We start from the raw sequence: 17,710 nt of genomic DNA, 5'->3' as shown, positions 1-17,710 counted from the left end.
TCTCATATTTTGAAATTTTTTATTTTTTTTAATTAGGTGGACATGCTTGTTTTATAATCCCTGTTAGTACTTTTTAAAAATTATTTTTCTTTAATATGCCTCTGGGTTCTTACAATGGAATATGTTATCATTGGTCATTTTGGAATTATATTATGAACTCAGTCAGTGGGATGTTAAGTGTGGTTGCCTCATGGTGTAAGTTGAAAGAGAGTCCCTTCAGAGCAGTTTTGCATATGCTTTCACTAAGTGCTTCAATTTTGAAATCAGATTCATGGTAATGAATACCCAGAGGAAGCATTTTTGTCCTAACCTGGGGTGATGGATGAGGCAGAATGTTTCTTTGTTCACAACCTGTGCTTGCTGGCAGAACTTTTACCAGTTCATACTTTTATTAAGGATCTAAGTATCTGCAAATTCTAGTTGTGTGTAATCATTTCAGTTCCACTTCCCCACTTTGCACAGACTCATTAAAACATAAAAACCTAGATTTTTTTAGTTCAAAAAACTCCCTCAGGGAAGCTACCACATTACCTTAGTTGCTTACTAAACTTGTTGCCAGAACTTGCTTTGTTTTTGGCTCATCTGTGCAAGTGAAAGTGCGCTTATTGTATTTTTTGCTATGGTTTATAGATGTTCATAATGGGAACATTTTCTGATTATCTAGACAGCCAGATTCTCACATAATTAAAAGAACTGGACTTAATCTGTGACCTACCATATAGGAATGAAGTGCAGTAAAATGATACATTAGTTTATTGTTAGCATTAGGTCTAAATATATATAGAAACAAGCCATAGGCCTTTTTTATTATTACATTTTATATCATGCAGCTACTTTCACCAAATGCTTTAAAAGACTGCAGAGCTGTCTCAATAAGATGTTCAGTTGATATTTAATAGTTTTTCAAAAATGTCTTTCAACAAGTGGGGATTATTTTACTTATAAATTATTGTAAAAAATAAGTGATTACTACAATATTGTTATTTTTCTTCCAAATGGTTGGAGATAGAAAAAAATATTTGTTGCTAGCCATGAGTATAAGATAGGGATGAAGTATTTTAATATCAACATTAATTATTAAAATTGTTCTCTGTTTCTCCTGGCAAATTCTGAAAGAGATGACTATGCAAAACAAATATAGACTCAATTACGAGAGTAATGTGGAAAAGGTAGAGCTAAAAGAGAGAAGATAAAACATAACCTTAAATAATATCTTTTCAATACAAGGCACAAAATGAACTTAATGTAAACTTAATTCATTTAAATCACACCCAAAATTTAGGAATACATTTACCATTCTCTAGTTATAAATAACAAAAATAATCCAAGTATGATAGGTTATCACATGAATTGCTTCATGAAGTATCAGTGGAAGATGTATTATTCCTGTGGTTCTCTTAGCTGAGAACACTTCTCCAGTATTTCATTAGGACTTAAGCAAGGCAAAGACTCAGGCCCGCTTGCATGTTATCCCTTCTCTCTTTCCTTACTTAATTAACTCCACCCTCAAATACTTGGCTTTAGTTTGTTTTAGTGGCCATGTTTCCCCTACCTCTGTTTGCCTTTATAATGCATCCAGAGGAAACTTTGCTCTAAAGAAGGCCTGCTGCCCACTGTAAAGCTCACCTCATTATACTGGCAAGGGAGCAGGTTTTCCCTAAAACACAGTAGACATAATGTAATGTTACACTGTGCTGTCTACTGATTACTGTATATTTCCAGACAACAGAAACAGTATAACATGTTTTTATCAGTTTGTACAAATTTTAGTGTTTTTCTCAAATATGCTATTATTTTTGTATTCTAGTAAATCCAAAAACTAGTTAATCCAGGCTGGGTGCAGTGGCTCACGCCTGTAATTCCAGCACTTTGGGAGGCCGAGGCGTGTGAATCACCTGAGGTCGGGAGTTCGAGACCAGCCTGACCAACATGGAGAAACCGTCTCTACTAAAAAAAATACAAAAAATTAGCCAGGTGTGGTGGCACATCCCTGTAATCCCAGCTACTGAAGAGGCTAAGGCAGGAGAATCACTTGAACCTGGGAGGCGGAGGTTGTGGTGAGCCAAGATCATGCCATTGCACTCCAGCCTGGGCAACAAGAGCAAAACTCCTTCTTAAATTAAAAAAAAAAAAACAAAACAACAACAACAACAAAAAAAAACAACAACAAAAACTAGTTAATCCATTCTTGATAATTTAAAGATGGCTGTTAGCACTTGGTACACTAATCTTCACTTCTTTTGTATATAGATGATATAATCCTATCAGGTTGCTTCCATACTCCTTAAAAGTCTACTGACCCAACAGAATGGATGTTGAAAAGTAGATGCATTTTTTGGTAAATTATTAAAAAGTCAATAGGAAAGAAAGCAAATAAATTTTGATGAAGTAAATAATTTGATTGTCAGTATTGGGAGTTTTAATATTTATAACTTTTACTGTAAATATATATATCTTTCTGAAAATATGTACCAAAATTAGAGGGAAAACTCTAGATAAATGAGGGAAGATACATCCAAATTTTATCTCATAAAACACAATCACTATAGCTGTCCTACCCTAAACTTTTCCCATGGTAAGCAGCATGCAACTACTTTTTCCAAGCAGTCACCATCCCCTTCAATATACAAGATACAAAACAGGAAACCTTGTAAGTCTGGGCAAGACAAGGCTGCTCTCAATCAGAACATTTATTCCCAGGGTTATAATGGAAGGTTTTTGTGAAGCCAAATGGTTCCTTCATAGTCCTGAGGTAAATCCTATCCTTCCCCAACTCTAGTCCCTAGCATCTTTCCACTGGGAAATCACCTTCTATTGCATCATATTTTCTGGTCAGTGTATTTCAGTGTATTCTAGTCATCAGCTTCCAATCATAGGATTATCCCCCCACATTGAAACCCATGTTTTCAGAGGATGGAAAAGAGATAATATAGTAAAATATGAATGGCTCTGAATCATCCAAACTCAGTAGATGAGATGCCTAGAGCTTTCCTCTTTGCTATCTTTCCTGACGCCTGATTCTTCAGTTCTTCCTTTGATTCTGAGAATATCGAATCAAAATAAGCCAACTATTTCTTCTGTTGCTCAACTTAGGCAAAGTTGGTCTCTGTGGCTCAAAACAAACAATATCCTAATGATAAAGGAAAATAATTTCTGCTGGCAGCAAAACATATTCAGAGTCTCAATATAACTATAGATGAAGATGAATGGAAAGGTTTTCTAGCATTATTATTATAAATAAATGACAAAATATCATTTATCTACATAGGAAACTATAGAAATCAAATATTTATGAGAACATCACGCCTGGTGGTAGAAGTTGTATACTGCATAATTCTATGGACACATTTATAATACACAACATAAATGGCTCCCTCTACTGTTGTGTAGTGTACTGCCTATACAACTGAATATTGTGGGATACATTAAGCGTCTCTAATATGCCATGTACTAAATAAGGGGAAGGACACAACAGAGATAAATAAAATAGGCTTCTACTTGAAAGGCACAGAAGTGGGTAAAACATATCACCTCTGTAACGTGGTAAGGGTCTCAGGAGCAGTGAGAAAGAAGTCTGGGGAGTTATATTAAATAATGAATAATTCTATTATTCAATTGCCTTTGCCAGCAAACAAATGGAGAAGGAAACACCCAAAACAGATGATACTGAATAAAATGGCAATGCAAAAAATTAAAGAACCACATAAAATCAAATCTTCACCTTAGGGTCAAGAATCACTAAGTATAAAGTATATTCAGATGTAGGGGGAAAGGGATTTGGGGTGATTTTTCTAAATATATAATACATCATATCATGATGCATGAACCTGCAACATGACTATTTGATTTACATAATGTGAAACATGGGACTTCATCTGTAACTAAACAACACGATAAAACTATGACAAATGCACTGCTTATCGTCAAGGGCATTTACAGTCCACCACGTAGCCAATTTCTGTTCACTTAGCAAACAAATGAAAAAAGCACATTACAAAAAAAAAAAAAAATCTAGTTATTTCATCCAGAAACACTAGAAGTACCTCTCACTAAAATTGAAAAATAAATTGTCAGCAGCATTATAAACCAAAGATCAGATGATAATTCTTAATCTTCAGTTCTCCAATAATCAACTTCTTTGCAGAAGACCAAAGTAATGTATTCCTAATTCAAAATATTCAAATATTTATTTTATGGGATGGGGATAGAGATTATTTGCTGACTAGACCTTTGATCATGTGGATTCAAATTCTCTCATTTTTGGCTCATGTAGACTGTGCACCCGAAGTCTGCATCACAGAGTTTCATTATGTGAATTTATAGAAATGACACTGTTAGACTTTGGCAACTGGGAAGGCCAATAAATTTTGCCTAAGTTCTGATTTATGTTGAAAAAAATGAAATGTAGCCTTTAATTTCCAAGAATGAAGATGCATCTGAGAATAAGTCTCACTGTAGAGTTTAATAGTGCCTGGGGATATACCTATAAGTGATTCATTCAAAAATTATTCTGTAATTTGTATTAAATCAAGTTACTTTTGCAATTCATATGTTTTATTAAATTTTCTCTTACTTGCCAATGGCATTAGTTTGAAACTAACTTTCACATGTATTATACGTAAACCAAAAGCATTTCTGCAAATAGGAAAGGCAAAGCTATCATTAATAAAATTGAATTTTAAAGAGTATTTTCAAAGGGCATAAAGATATATGCCTTCTCCATGATTTCAATAAGAAATGTGAAAATTGCACTAAGAAATCATAGAGTTGAGAGTTAAGAGAACATGTTTTGTGTTTTTGTTACTATGAACCCAGAAGCATAACTAGGTCAGCTTTAAACTATTTACTTTATTGTACTGCACAGGACAATTTGACAAATATATGACCTCAGATAGGTTTGGATTTGTAGAAGCATTATGCATTTTATGTGAGACCAAACTTGACCCCTGAGCTAAAATTTCTTCCTATTAATGTATGCACATAACCCCCAACATTTACTAGTTATCTACGATGAGCATTTACTAGAAACTGAGCCTGGTTCTGAGTTTACTCTGCCAAATATGGATAAGAACATGCAATCCAGGGAGATTAACATTTTTTCCAATGTTATTCTATTTTTCACAGCTTTCTTACAAAGCTAAATAGCTGATCATCTTTACCCTAACTAGAAAGGGATATTTTTTCCTTAACTACATGAAGCACTCATTTAATCTTTATTAACCAAATGGTACTAGGTCACTTAGGAATAAAATATTCTCTTTAGTGGGGTGATTTTTCACTATTATGGCACTGGAAACAAATATGGAGAAAGGGTGATCCTCCACAGAAGCCTTGTCCCACAAGTGAGTAAAGGGAGAACAGTTTGCCAGTATTCGTCAGTATTTTATATATGTGTACCCTTTGACAGAGCAAGTACTTTTTAATCTACCCTAAATAAATACTATTACAGCACATGTTTACAACCATATATAAACATATTTATAGAACATTTTCTCTAACAGCAAAAAATTAGAAAGTTCTATAAACAGATAAGTAGTTGAATAAATTAGGATACTTTTATGCAATATATAGTATGTCAGCTCCCCCTCACAAATGATGCAGACCGATATAGGAATGCATCAGTTTCCGATTGCTGCTATAACAGATTACCATGAACTTAGTGGCTTAAAACAACACAAATTTGTTATCTTGTCAGAAGTCAAGTGCAGGTCTTAATGGGACAAAATAAAAGTGCCATATAGCTGCATTCCTTCTAGAGGCACTAGGGTATAATCTATGTCCTGGCCTTTTCCAGCTTCTAGACATTGCTGGCATTCTTTGGCTTTTGACCTGTTTTTCTGTCTGCAAAACTGGGTTTATAGCATCTTCCAGTCCTTCTCTGACTTTGAACTTCTGCCTCCCTCTTCCTTATTTTAGGACTCTTGTGATTACACTGAACCACTCAAATATGCCAGGATAATCTGCCCATCTCAAGATCCTTAATCACATTTGCAAAGTCCCCTTGCCATGTAAGATGGCATATTCACTGGTTCTGGAGATTAGAACGTGAATATTTGGGGAGGAGGGACATTATTCTGCCTCCCACAATAAATAACATAAAAATACTTGCCAGACATAATCGTAAAGTGAAAAAGCAAACAAACAGAGAAAACTGTGTATAGCATGAAACAATGTTCTTTACATACACACCAACTCTTAACATTGATTACCTTAGGGTTGGAGAGCAGAGTAGAAGTTGGTAAAAGTTAATTTACTATGTAAACACTAAGGTGTTTCTTTTACTTTTACCATAAGAATATGCTTATAATATGACAATATATTTAAAAGTTATACTTAAACTTTTGCCATGAGAATATGCATTACTTGGAAAATAAAACCATATTAGGCTACATTTCCAAGAAAAGTATACAAAAATAAGCAATTGTTTGAAACAGACTTTTAAGGGAAAATATGGATTATAAAACAGTATGTAAGATGACTTCAACAACATAGATAACATTCTGTTTCCTAAGTGGAGGGGTAAACAGGTAGTTGTTAATTATGTTATTCTTTATGCTCTTTGTATATATGAAATATATCACACTATGCTTTCTTCTTTTCCTTTTAATAGAATTCTTGTGTTGCATAGCTAGGGAAAGCTAGCAACAAGGGAGGCAATAATGAAGAGTGGTCAGTTCAACATGCTAGTTTTAAGGTTTTTAACACTAAAAAAATTGGATGCAGAAAATTCTAAAGCTTTTTTTAGAGTTTTGAAAGAAAAAATGGCATTGGAAATAAGGAATAAAATTAATGCCACAATATATTTTGTTGGTGAGAAACAAAACTTGTATGTAGACTATGATCCCAATAATGTAACTCCATGTATTTAATTATATGCATACATAAGAAATACCACTGATGAAATATACTTTAAAATGTTAACTATACTTTTTCCTGTGTAGTGGGACTATAAGCTAATTTTTATCTTTATTCTTGTACTTATCAGTTTTCTGTAATATATATTGCATTTGTAATAAGAGAAAATTATAAATCAGTAATCAAATTATGATTATCGTCTTCTTTAGTCTCAGAAGCAATATTTCTCAAATCTATTACTGTTAAGAAGGAAGAAAGACTTGACCAATGCAAATGTTTAACCTAGACTCACCTCAAACCTTATAAGTCCCCTCTCCATCCATGCAAATCTTTCCATCCCTTCTACCAACTTCAATTTACTACTCTTTTTTTTCTTTTTTTGTGTATTTATTATCATTATTATTATTATACTTTAAGTTTTAGGGTACATGTGCACAACGTGCAGGTTTGCATACATATACATGTGCCATGTTGGTGTGCTGTACCCATTAACTCGTCATTTGGCATTAGGTATATCTCCTAATGCTATCCCTCCCCCCTTCCCCCATCCCACAACAGGCCCCAGTGTGTGATGTTCCCCTTCCTGTGTCCATGTGTTCTCATTGTTCAATTCCCACCTATGAGTGAGAACATGCGGTGTTTGGTTTTTTGTCCTTGCCATAGTTTGCTGAGAATGATGGTTTCCAGCTTCATCCATGTCCCTACAAAGGACATGAACTCAACATTTTTTATGGCTGCATAGTATTCCATGGTGTAGATGTGCCACATTTTCTTAATCCAGTCTATCATTGTTGGACATTTGGGTTGGTTCCAAGTCTTTGCTATTGTGAATAGTGCCGCAATAAACATACGTGTGCATGTGTCTTTATAGCAGCATGATTTAAAATCCTTTGGGTATATACCCAGTAATGGGATGGCTGGGTCAAATGGTATTTGTAGTTCTAGATCCCTGAGGAATCGCAACACCGACTTCCACAATGGTTGAACTAGTTTACAGTCCCACCAACAATGTAAACATGTTCCTATTTCTCCACATCCTCTCCAGCACCTGTTGTTTCCTGACCTTTTAATGATTGCCATTCTAACTGGTGTGAGATGGTATCTCATTGTGGTTTTGATTTGCATTTCTCTGATGGCCAGCGATGATGAGCATTTTTTCATGTGTCTGTTGGCTGCATAAATGTCTTCTTTTGAGAAGTGTCTGTTAATATCCTTCACCCACTTTTTGATGGGGTTGTTTTTTTCTTTTTTCTTTTTTTTAAATTATTATTATAATTTAAGTTTTAGGGTACATGTGCACAATGTGCAGCTTAGTTACATATGTATACATGTGCCATGCTGGTGCACTGCACCCATTAACTCATCATTTAGCATTAGGTATATCTCCTAATGCTATCCCTCCCCCGACCCGCCACCCCACAACAGTCCCCAGAGTGTGATGTTCCCCTTCCTGTGTCCATGTGTTCTCATTGTTCAATTCCCACCTATGAGTGAGAACATGCAGTGTTTGTTTTTGTCCTTGTGATAGTTTACTGAGAATGATGATTTCCAATTTCATCCATGTCCCTACAAAGGACATGAACTCTTCATTTTTTATGGCTGCATAGTATTCCATGTGTATATGTGCCACATTTTCTTAATCCAGTCTCTCATTGTTGGACATTTGGGTTGGTTCCAAGTCTTTGCTATTGTGAATAGTGCCGCAGTAAACATACATGTGCATGTGTCTTTATAGCAGCATGATTTACAGTCCTTTGGGTATATACCCAGTAATGGGAAGGCTGGTTCAAATGTTATTTCTAGTTCTAGATCCCTGAGGAATCGCCACACTGACTTCCACAATGGTTGAACTAGTTTACAGTCCCACCAACAGTGTAAAAGTGTTCCTATTTCTCCACATCCTCTCCAGCACCTGTTGTTTCCTAACTCTTTAATGATTGCCATTCTAACTGGTGTGAGATGGTATCTCATTGTGGTTTTGATTTGCATTTTTCTGATGGCCAGTGATGATGAGCATTTTTTCATGTGTCTTTTGGCTGCATAAATGTCTTCTTTTGAGAAGTGTCTGTTCATATACTTTGCCCACTTTTTGATGGGGTTGTTTGTTTTTTTCTTGTAAATCTGTTGGAGTTCATTGTAGATTCTGGATATTAGCCCTTTGTCAGATGAGTAGGTTGCAAAAATTTTCTCCATTGTGTAGGTTGCCTGTTCATTCCAATGGTAGTTTCTTTTGATGTGCAGAAGCTCTTTAGTTTAATTAGGTCCCATTTGTCAATTTTGGCTTTTGTTGCCATTGCTTTTGGTGTTTTAGACATGAAGTCCTTGCCCATGCCTGTGTCCTGAATGGTATTGCCTAGGTGTTCTTCTAGGGTTTTTATGGTTTTAGGTCTAACATGTAAGTCTTTAATCCATCTTGAATTAATTTTTGTATAAGGTGTAAGGAAGGGATCCAGTTTCAGCTTTCTACATATGGCTAGCCAGTTTTCCCAGCACCATTTATTAAATAGGGAATCCTTTCCCCATTGCTTGTCTTTGTCAGGTTTGTCAAAGATCATATAGTTGTAGATATATGGCATTATTTCTGAGGGCTCTGTTCTGTTCCATTGGTCTATATCTCTGTTTCGGTACCAGTACCATACTGTTTTGGTTACTGTAGCCTTGTAGTATAGTTTGAAGTCAGCTAGCGTGATGCCTCCAGCTTTGTTCTTTTGGCTTAGGATTGACTTGGCAATGCGGGCTCTTTTTTGGTTCCCTATGAACTTTAAAGTAGCTTTTTCCAATTCTGTGAAGAAAGTCATTGGTAGCTTGATGGGGATGGCATTGAATCTCTAAATTACCTTGGGCAGTATGGCCATTTTCAGGATACTGATTCTTCCTACCCATAAGCATGGAATGTTCTTCCATTTGTTTGTATTCTCTTTTATTTCATTGAGCAGTGGTTTGTAGTTCTCCTTGAAGAGGTCCTTCACACCCCTTGTAAGTTGGATTCCTAGGTATTTTATTCTCTTTCAAGCCAATTGTGAATGGGAGTTCACTCATGATTTGGCTGTTTGTCTGCTATTGGTGTATAAGAATGCTTGTGATTTTTGCACATTGATTTTGTATCCTGAGAATTTGCTGAAGTTGCTTATCAGCTTAAGGAGATTTTGGGCTGAGATGATGGGGTTTTCTAGATATACAATCATGTCATCTGCAAACAGGGACAATTTGACTTCCTCTTTTCCTAATTGAATGCCCTTTATTTCCTTCTCCTGCCTGACTGTCCTGGCCAGAACTTCCAACACTATGTTGAATAGGAGTGGTGAGAGAGGGCATCCCTGTCTTGTGCCAGTTTTCAAAGGGAATGCTTCCAGTTTTTGTCCATTCAGTATGATATTGGCTGTGGATTTGTCTCTTATTATTTTGATATACGCCCCATCAATAGCTAATTTATTAAGAGTTTTTAGCATGAAGGTTGTTGAATTTTGTCAAAGGCCTTTTCTGCATCTATTGAGATAATCATGTGGTTTTTGTCTTTGGTTCTGTTTATATGCTGGATTACGTTTATTGATTTTCGTATGTTGAACAAGCCTTGCATCTCAGGGATGAAGCCCACTTGATCATGGTGGATAAGCTTTTTGATGTGCTGCTGGATTCGGTTTGCCAGTATTTTATTGAGGATTTCTGCATCAATGTTCATCAAGGATATTGGTCTAAAATTCTCTTTTTTTGTTGTGTCTCTGCCAGGCTTTGGTATCAGGATGATGCTGGCCTCATAAAATGAGTTAGGGAGGATTCCCCCTTTTTCTATTGATTGGAATAGTTACAGAAGGAATGGTACCAGCTCCTCCTTGTACCTCTGGTAGAATTCGGCTGTGAATCCTTCTGGTCCTGGATTTTTTTGGTTGGTAAGCTATTAATTATTGCCTCAATTTCAGAGCCTGTTATTGGTCTATTCAGAGATTCAACTTCTTCCTGGTTTAGTCTTGGGAGAGTGTATGCGTCGAGGAATTTATCCATTTCTTCTAGATTTTCTAGTTTATTTGCGTAGAGGTGTTTACCCAATACAGGAGCACCCAGATTCATAAAGCACGTCCTTAGTGACCTACAAAGAGACTTAGACTCCCACACATTAATAATGGGAGACTTTAACACCCCACTGTCAACATTAGACAGATCAATGAGACAGGTAGTTAACAAGGATATCCAGGAATTGGACTCAGCTCTATACCAAGCAGACCTAATAGACATCTACAGAACTCTCCACCCCAAGTCAACAGAATATACATTCTTTTCAGCACCACACCACACCTGTTCCAAAATTGACCACAAATTGGAAGTAAAGCACTCCTCAGCAAATATAAAAGAACAGAAATTATAACAAACTGTCTCTCAGACCACAGTGCAATCAAACTAGAACTCAGGATTAAGAAACTCACTCAAAAACCGCTCAACTACATGGAAACTGAACAACCTGCTCCTGAATGACTACTGGGTACATAACGAAATGAAGGCAGAAATAAAGATGTTCTTTGCAACCAACGAGAACAAAGACACAACATACCAGAATCTCTGTTACACATTCAAAGCAGTGTGTAGAGGGAAATTTACAGCACTAAATGCCCACAAGAGAAAGCAGGAAAGATCTAAAATTGACACCCTAACATCACAATTAAAAGAACTAGAGAAGCAAGAGCAAACACATTCAAAAGCTAGCAGAAGGCAAGAAATAACTAAGATCAGAGCAGAACTGAAGGAAATAGAGACTCAAAAAAATCCTTCAAAAAATCAATGAATCCAGGAGCTGGGTTTTTGAAAAGACCAACAAAATTGATAGACCACTCGCAAGACTAATGAAGAAGAAAAGAGAGAAGAATCAAATAGACGCAATAAAAGATGACAAAGGGGATATCACCACCGATCCCACAGAAATACAAACTACCAATTTACTACTCTTAACCAACTTTATTATGGTAAAACTTACATAAAATATACACAAGTTAAATGAGAAGATTGGTGAATTTTGACAAATGTATAAACCCACATGTATCCAAAGCAATATATGCAATATTTCCAGCACTACAGAAAGTTCCTTCTGCCTTTTTGCAGTCAGTTTTCCCACCTAAAGGTGGGAACATTTGTCACACCACAGATGAATTCTGCCTATTTTCAAACTCTATATAAGTGGAATCATCTTCTGATCAGTTTCTAATTTGGCTTTTTCACTCAGTATAATTTTTTTTTTTGTGGTGGAGTCTCACTCTGTTGCCCAGGCTGGATTGCAGTGGTGCAGTCTCCACTCACTGCAACCTCCGCCTGCCAGGTTCAAGCAATTCTCCTGCCTCAGCCTCCCGAGTAGCCGGGATTACAGGCATAAGCCACCACGCCTGCCTAACTTTTGTATTTTTGGTAGAGACAGGGTTTTACCATGTTGACAAGGCTGATATTGAACTCCTGACCTCAAGTGATCTGCCTGCCTGCCTAGGCCTCCCAAATTGCTGGGATTACAGGCGTGAGCCACCACACCTGGCCTCAGTATAATGATATTCATATTCATCCATCCATGTGGTTGCATTTATTAGCAGTTTGATGAAGAGTATTCAATTGTATGATCACACAATACATCCATTCACCTGTAGATGAAAATTTATTTATAAGTTTTGGCAATTATGAAAAATTATGAAAAAAAATTATGAAAGCTTCTATAAATTTTCAAGTGCAATTTTTTATGTGAATAACATTTTTATTTTTCTTAAGTAAATATCTAAGAAGCGGATGTGGGCTAAATGGTAAGCAAATGTTTAACTTTATAAGAAACTACTCATTTTCCAGTGTGGTTGAACCATTTTATAATCCCACCAACAACTGAGGAGTGTTCCATATCCTCACCATCATTGAGTATTTTCAATTTTTATAACTGAAGCCTTTCAAGTGGGTGTGAATTTAATTTGCATTTTCCTGAGTACTAATGATGTTGAGTATCTCTTTATATGCTTATTGGAGATTCATATTTCTTCTTCTTATTTTTAAAAGGTTAACATGTTTTTGTATTTGTATATGTGTATATACACACATACGTAAACATTCTGGATACAAGTTCTTTGTTAGTATATGCATGACAACTATTTTCTCAAATTCACAAAAGGTGTAACATCTTTTGAATGGGAAATGGTTTTCATTTTTAAAAATTCCAGATGATTGTCAATATTTCTTGATTAGTACTTTTTTTTACCCTATCTAAGAAATCATTGCCCTCCTCTTGTTCATGAAGATGTTATTTTTTTTGCTACAATAGAGTTTTAGCTTTCATGTTTAATTCTGTGATCCTTTTTGAATTAATTTTACACATGTTAAATAGGACTGATACTCATTTTTTTCGCAAAGGTGTCCAGATATTCCATTTGTACCATTTGATGTATTCTAATACCATCTGCTGAATAGATTATTTTTATAACTGAATTATGTTGGTAGCTTTATTAAAAATCAATTGACCCTATATATCTGGGTTTATTTCTAGACCATTTATTTTGCTTCATTGATTTGCATGACTTTCTGCCAAAACCATACTATCTTGATTTCCAAACCTTTATAGTAAGTTTTGAAATCATATCGTGTAAGTCCATCCAATTTGTTCATATACATACATATATATATATAAACATTTTCATTCCTGTGACAGAATGGGAAGATTTTGGGGTTTTTTTGTTTGTTTGTTTGTTTGTTTGAGACAGAGTCTTGCTCAGTCGCCCAGGCTGGCGTGCAGTAGCGCAATCTTGGCTCACTGCAACCTCTGCCTCCCAGATTCAAGCAATTCTCGTGGCTCAGCCTCCCAGGTAGCTGGGACTACAGGCATGCACCACCATGCCCAGCTAATTTTTGTAATCTTAGTAGAGATGAGATTCTGTCATGTTAGGCAGGCTGGTCTTGAATCCCTGGCCTCAGGCAGTCTGCCCACCTCAGCCACCCAAAGTGCTGGGATTACAGGTGTGAGCCACCACACCTGGCCTCAATTTGTTCTTATTTTTCAAAACTGTTTTGATTCTTCTAGGTCCTCTGCCTTTACAAATTAGTACTGGAGTCAGCTTGTCAATTTCTACAAAACATGCCTGAAAAGGTTGTTTCATTGGGAGTATATTGAATCTATAAATCAATTTGGAGAAAACTGACATTTAATAATATTTAGTATTCCAATGAATTAATCTTTATTTAGATATTTAATTTCTCATAAGAGTGCTGTATAGTTCTCATTTTAGAGGTTGTACACATATTTTACTAAAATTCTTCTTAAGTATTTTATGGTTTTGGAAGTCACTATAAGTTTTTTTCCAATTGTTCACTTCCAGTATATATAAACATAATTGGTTTTTGAAAACTGATTTTACATGATGTGGCCTTGAAAACCCAGTTATAAATTCTAGCAAATTTTTGTTAGATTTCTTAAGATATTCTTTGTACCATTTCATATCATCTGTGAATAAGAGACATTTTTTCTTTTTATTCCAAATATGTATGCTTTTCCTTTTTTTTTTTTCCTGCTTTACTGCACTGGTTATGATCTTCAGTACGATATTGGATAGAAGTGGTAAGAGGGGACATCCTTACCTTGCTTTCAGTTGTAAGGAGAAAATGTTCAGTTTTCTCCTTTTGCTGTGATATTAGTTGTAGATATATGTTTCGATAGATACCCTTTCAGAGATTAAGATAGTACCTCAAGAACTCAATAAGTATTTTTGGTTGATAGGATTTCTTTATTTTACTTTCTTTCAATACATTAGAAATGTTGTTTCACTGTCTTTTGAACTTATGGTTTTTCGGATGTGAAGTCAGTCATTTATTTGAACATTGTTCCTCCTGTTCAATGTTCCCTCTGCTCCCCACAACGCTCAACCCACTGGCTGATGGAAATTTTTATGTTTTTCTTTGGTTTTCAGCAATTTTCCTATGATGTGCCTAGGTCCATATTTGTTGCCTTTCATCAAATTTGCAGAAATTTTTGCCATTATGTCTTCAAATAATTTTTCTTACCCATTCTTACTCTCTCCTTCGGAGACTCCAATTACAACAACATTAATCTGCTAAATCCAACATCTAGGCTATCTTGAGGTCAGTTTCTATTGACTAATTCTTCCCTGACCATGGGTCACATTTTCATGTTTCTTTGCTTGACTAATTTTTATTATACTCTGGACATTGTGGATGATATATTTTTAGAGATTTGCTATTCTGTTATCTTCCTCTGAAGAGTGCTTACAGCTGTTTTAGGAGGCAGTTCAATTACTGGCTCATCATCCTGCACTTGGATAAATTTGATTTTATTCTTTGGTAGGGGAGATCTATCAAAAATCCAAGATGATACCCAAGCCTCTGTAAATTGGTGGTATTCAACCTCCAAGCTCTGTCTCCCCTAAGGCTAAAAATGTTGATAAGGTGTCACAAGATTGTTCCACTCTTGTGCTTTGAATTTGCTTATTCCTCTTATCTTTTTAAATTCTGAACTCCATAGCAGCAATCCTATGGTAAATTTGGGGCAGTTTCCTCTATCTGTTTATCTTCAGACCAGCCCTTGCCAAGTTCTCACGTACAGTCAGCACACGTACTTCATGGCACCTCTCCATGCCTAAGACTTTTATCTATGGTGTCCTCAGCAGGATCACTGTGCTCTACCTAGATTCTAGCTTGCTACGCTAGTTAAGAATTTTTTCCCAAGGAAAAAGCTGGGTTGACTGCGATGTTTGCATAATAAATTTCCCTTCTTTCAGGAATTGCAGTCTTATGCTGTTCATTCTCCAATGACTAAAAGCAGTGACTTCTTATTTTCCAATGTTATGATTGCTTGTTGCAGAAACTCAGTAACAGTTTTACCTACTTAGCCGAAAGTAGAAGTCCAATTGTGTTCCTGCATAGAGATTTTTCAACCTTATGAATTATTTGCCTTTAGTATTAATTACAAGAAACTACAATGATTTCAATGATTTCATTTCAGAAAATCATGTGTAATTTACGCTACTGTGATGTGAAACGCTAACACTTTTGATGACTAAAATTAAATTGCTAGTTCACAATGAATTACTTATTTTTACCAGCTTTAAGCAAGACAAATTATGTATAATTATTAAATATAGTAATCATATAGAGCATATTGTTGCTCATTATTTCACTTACATTTATTTACATATTATACTTAATGCTATATTAAAAATATTTGTTAGTAGTACATTCACAATGTAGCTTATAATTAATCAGTCAGAGACTTAATTGAAATTGTTTCTCACATGGAGCCAGAAAGTTTTTCAATTGCTGAATTTAACATATTAGGTTACTTTATATGGTGATGACTGAAAAACATACAGTCTACGTTCATAATTTGGAACTTACAACAAAATTCACCATAGTTTTAGCTTATCATTATCAATGACTATGCCTTTGAGGTCAAAAATTTTGGGTAATTTTTTAGAATTAACTAACCAAATTTTTTGTCAATATGCCATCCAATATTTAGCTGTTTACAAATCAGTTATTATGATTTGAGGGAGATGACTAACATCATTATGCCAAAATCACTCTTGAAACACGAAATCTGAAATAAAAACATTATCTATTAAGGGATTAATGGGATCAACAGTGCAGTGATTGAATTAGGAATGCCATTTAATTGGCATTGGAAAATTTACCTTGTTATAAGTATAGCTGCATCCACTGAAGTCATGTCTTCCCCCCAGTTTGTTGACATCTCTAAATGTATATCATTCTTTTTGCCAAATTCTTCATGTTGCCACTTACAAAAACTCTCTAGCATTTTTTCTCCATGATGCCCAATATATAGTTCTGGCTGCAAAAGAACAGAGCTCATCACAAGGCATATTATTCTTAGGTATATACAAAACAACAACAACAACAACAATAACAAAGGCACTCTTGAATTACTAAAGCAAACTGCTGACCATAACATTAATTAGAACCTGGAAGACATGCAGGTTTAATTTACCCTGAGCTTAAAAGCTTAAAACTTGGTGAAGGTGTAATAATTACAAAATTTGTTTAATGGTATTCTGAAAAAGCAAAGAGGTTCAATTAAGAATATGGAACTTTTATACTTAAATAACTTGTTTCTACAATTTAAGAACAACATTTTCTATGTAGAACACCATTTTCTAAAGTGCCAGTTAAGCAGCATATCAAAATGATGTCACAGAATAGTTCCCATTTAAAATAAATAAAAAGTGTTAAAAGTAGACATCTAAATAATAGAATAAAACTGTCACTTAAAATGACTTCTTAAAATTATACTTTGGAAAGTTAAGATTTGTTTTCAGGATTCTTGGAAACTAACGACATCTTATTTTTTAAATAAGATCGGGGCATTAACCAAAACTAAAGGCCAGTTTTATGTATACTTTAAGTGATTCAGTGGATATTTCTGGATTTTTAAGCACATCCTTAACATTCCCTTTACTTAAAAGTTTCTGAACAAAATTTCTCCCCCATTTAATTTAATAAAAAACTCAAGACTTTCTTACTGGAGTTTCATGGAGCAGAATAAGCTTTATCACACGAAGATTGACCTGCACACTCAGACTCTTGTGTTGGAAAAGGTTAAATACCTAAAAACAAATAAAAATAAAAATCCTAAAATTAAACTGAAAATCATCTTAATTTTTCTCAAGGCCCATACATGGAGATGTCTCAATTTAGTTGAGACATCTTTTTTTTTTTTTAAAAAAAAAAAAAAAAAGCTTGTAAAGCAAAGTAATTTTTTATTTGTTACATTGAATTTAAAAGAAAACTTAGTATTGATTTAACTTGTATTAGAAAATATATAACTGACACACCAAACCCATGCTTTCAGAGATATTTCTACTTAGAAAAGACTGGTTGT

The 17,710-nt window shown here is 35.0% G+C and overlaps 1 protein-coding gene across 11 annotated transcripts in view; it reads right to left on the bottom strand.

The window, feature by feature from the left end:
* The window catches only part of ADAMTS19 (ADAM metallopeptidase with thrombospondin type 1 motif 19), a 278,386-nt gene that overhangs the window by 193,501 nt on the left and 67,175 nt on the right, over nt 1-17,710 (bottom strand). For all 11 annotated transcript variants that reach the window (XR_007058587.1, XM_047416876.1, XM_047416878.1 and 8 more), the window contains 2 exons: nt 17,352-17,435; nt 16,506-16,663 (listed from right to left, as the gene is read on the bottom strand). Coding sequence is in view for 10 of the 11 variants with exons in the window: in XM_047416876.1 (XP_047272832.1) it covers nt 16,506-16,663; nt 17,352-17,435 (242 nt within the window). In the remaining variant the exon portion in view is untranslated. The remainder of the gene's footprint in view (nt 1-16,505; nt 16,664-17,351; nt 17,436-17,710) is intronic.

The sequence above is a fragment of the Homo sapiens genome, chromosome 5, assembly GCF_000001405.40.
Source record: "Homo sapiens chromosome 5, GRCh38.p14 Primary Assembly".
In the NCBI taxonomy this organism is placed as follows: domain Eukaryota; kingdom Metazoa; phylum Chordata; class Mammalia; order Primates; family Hominidae; genus Homo; species Homo sapiens.
This window is presented reverse-complemented; position numbering and strand designations above follow the sequence as displayed.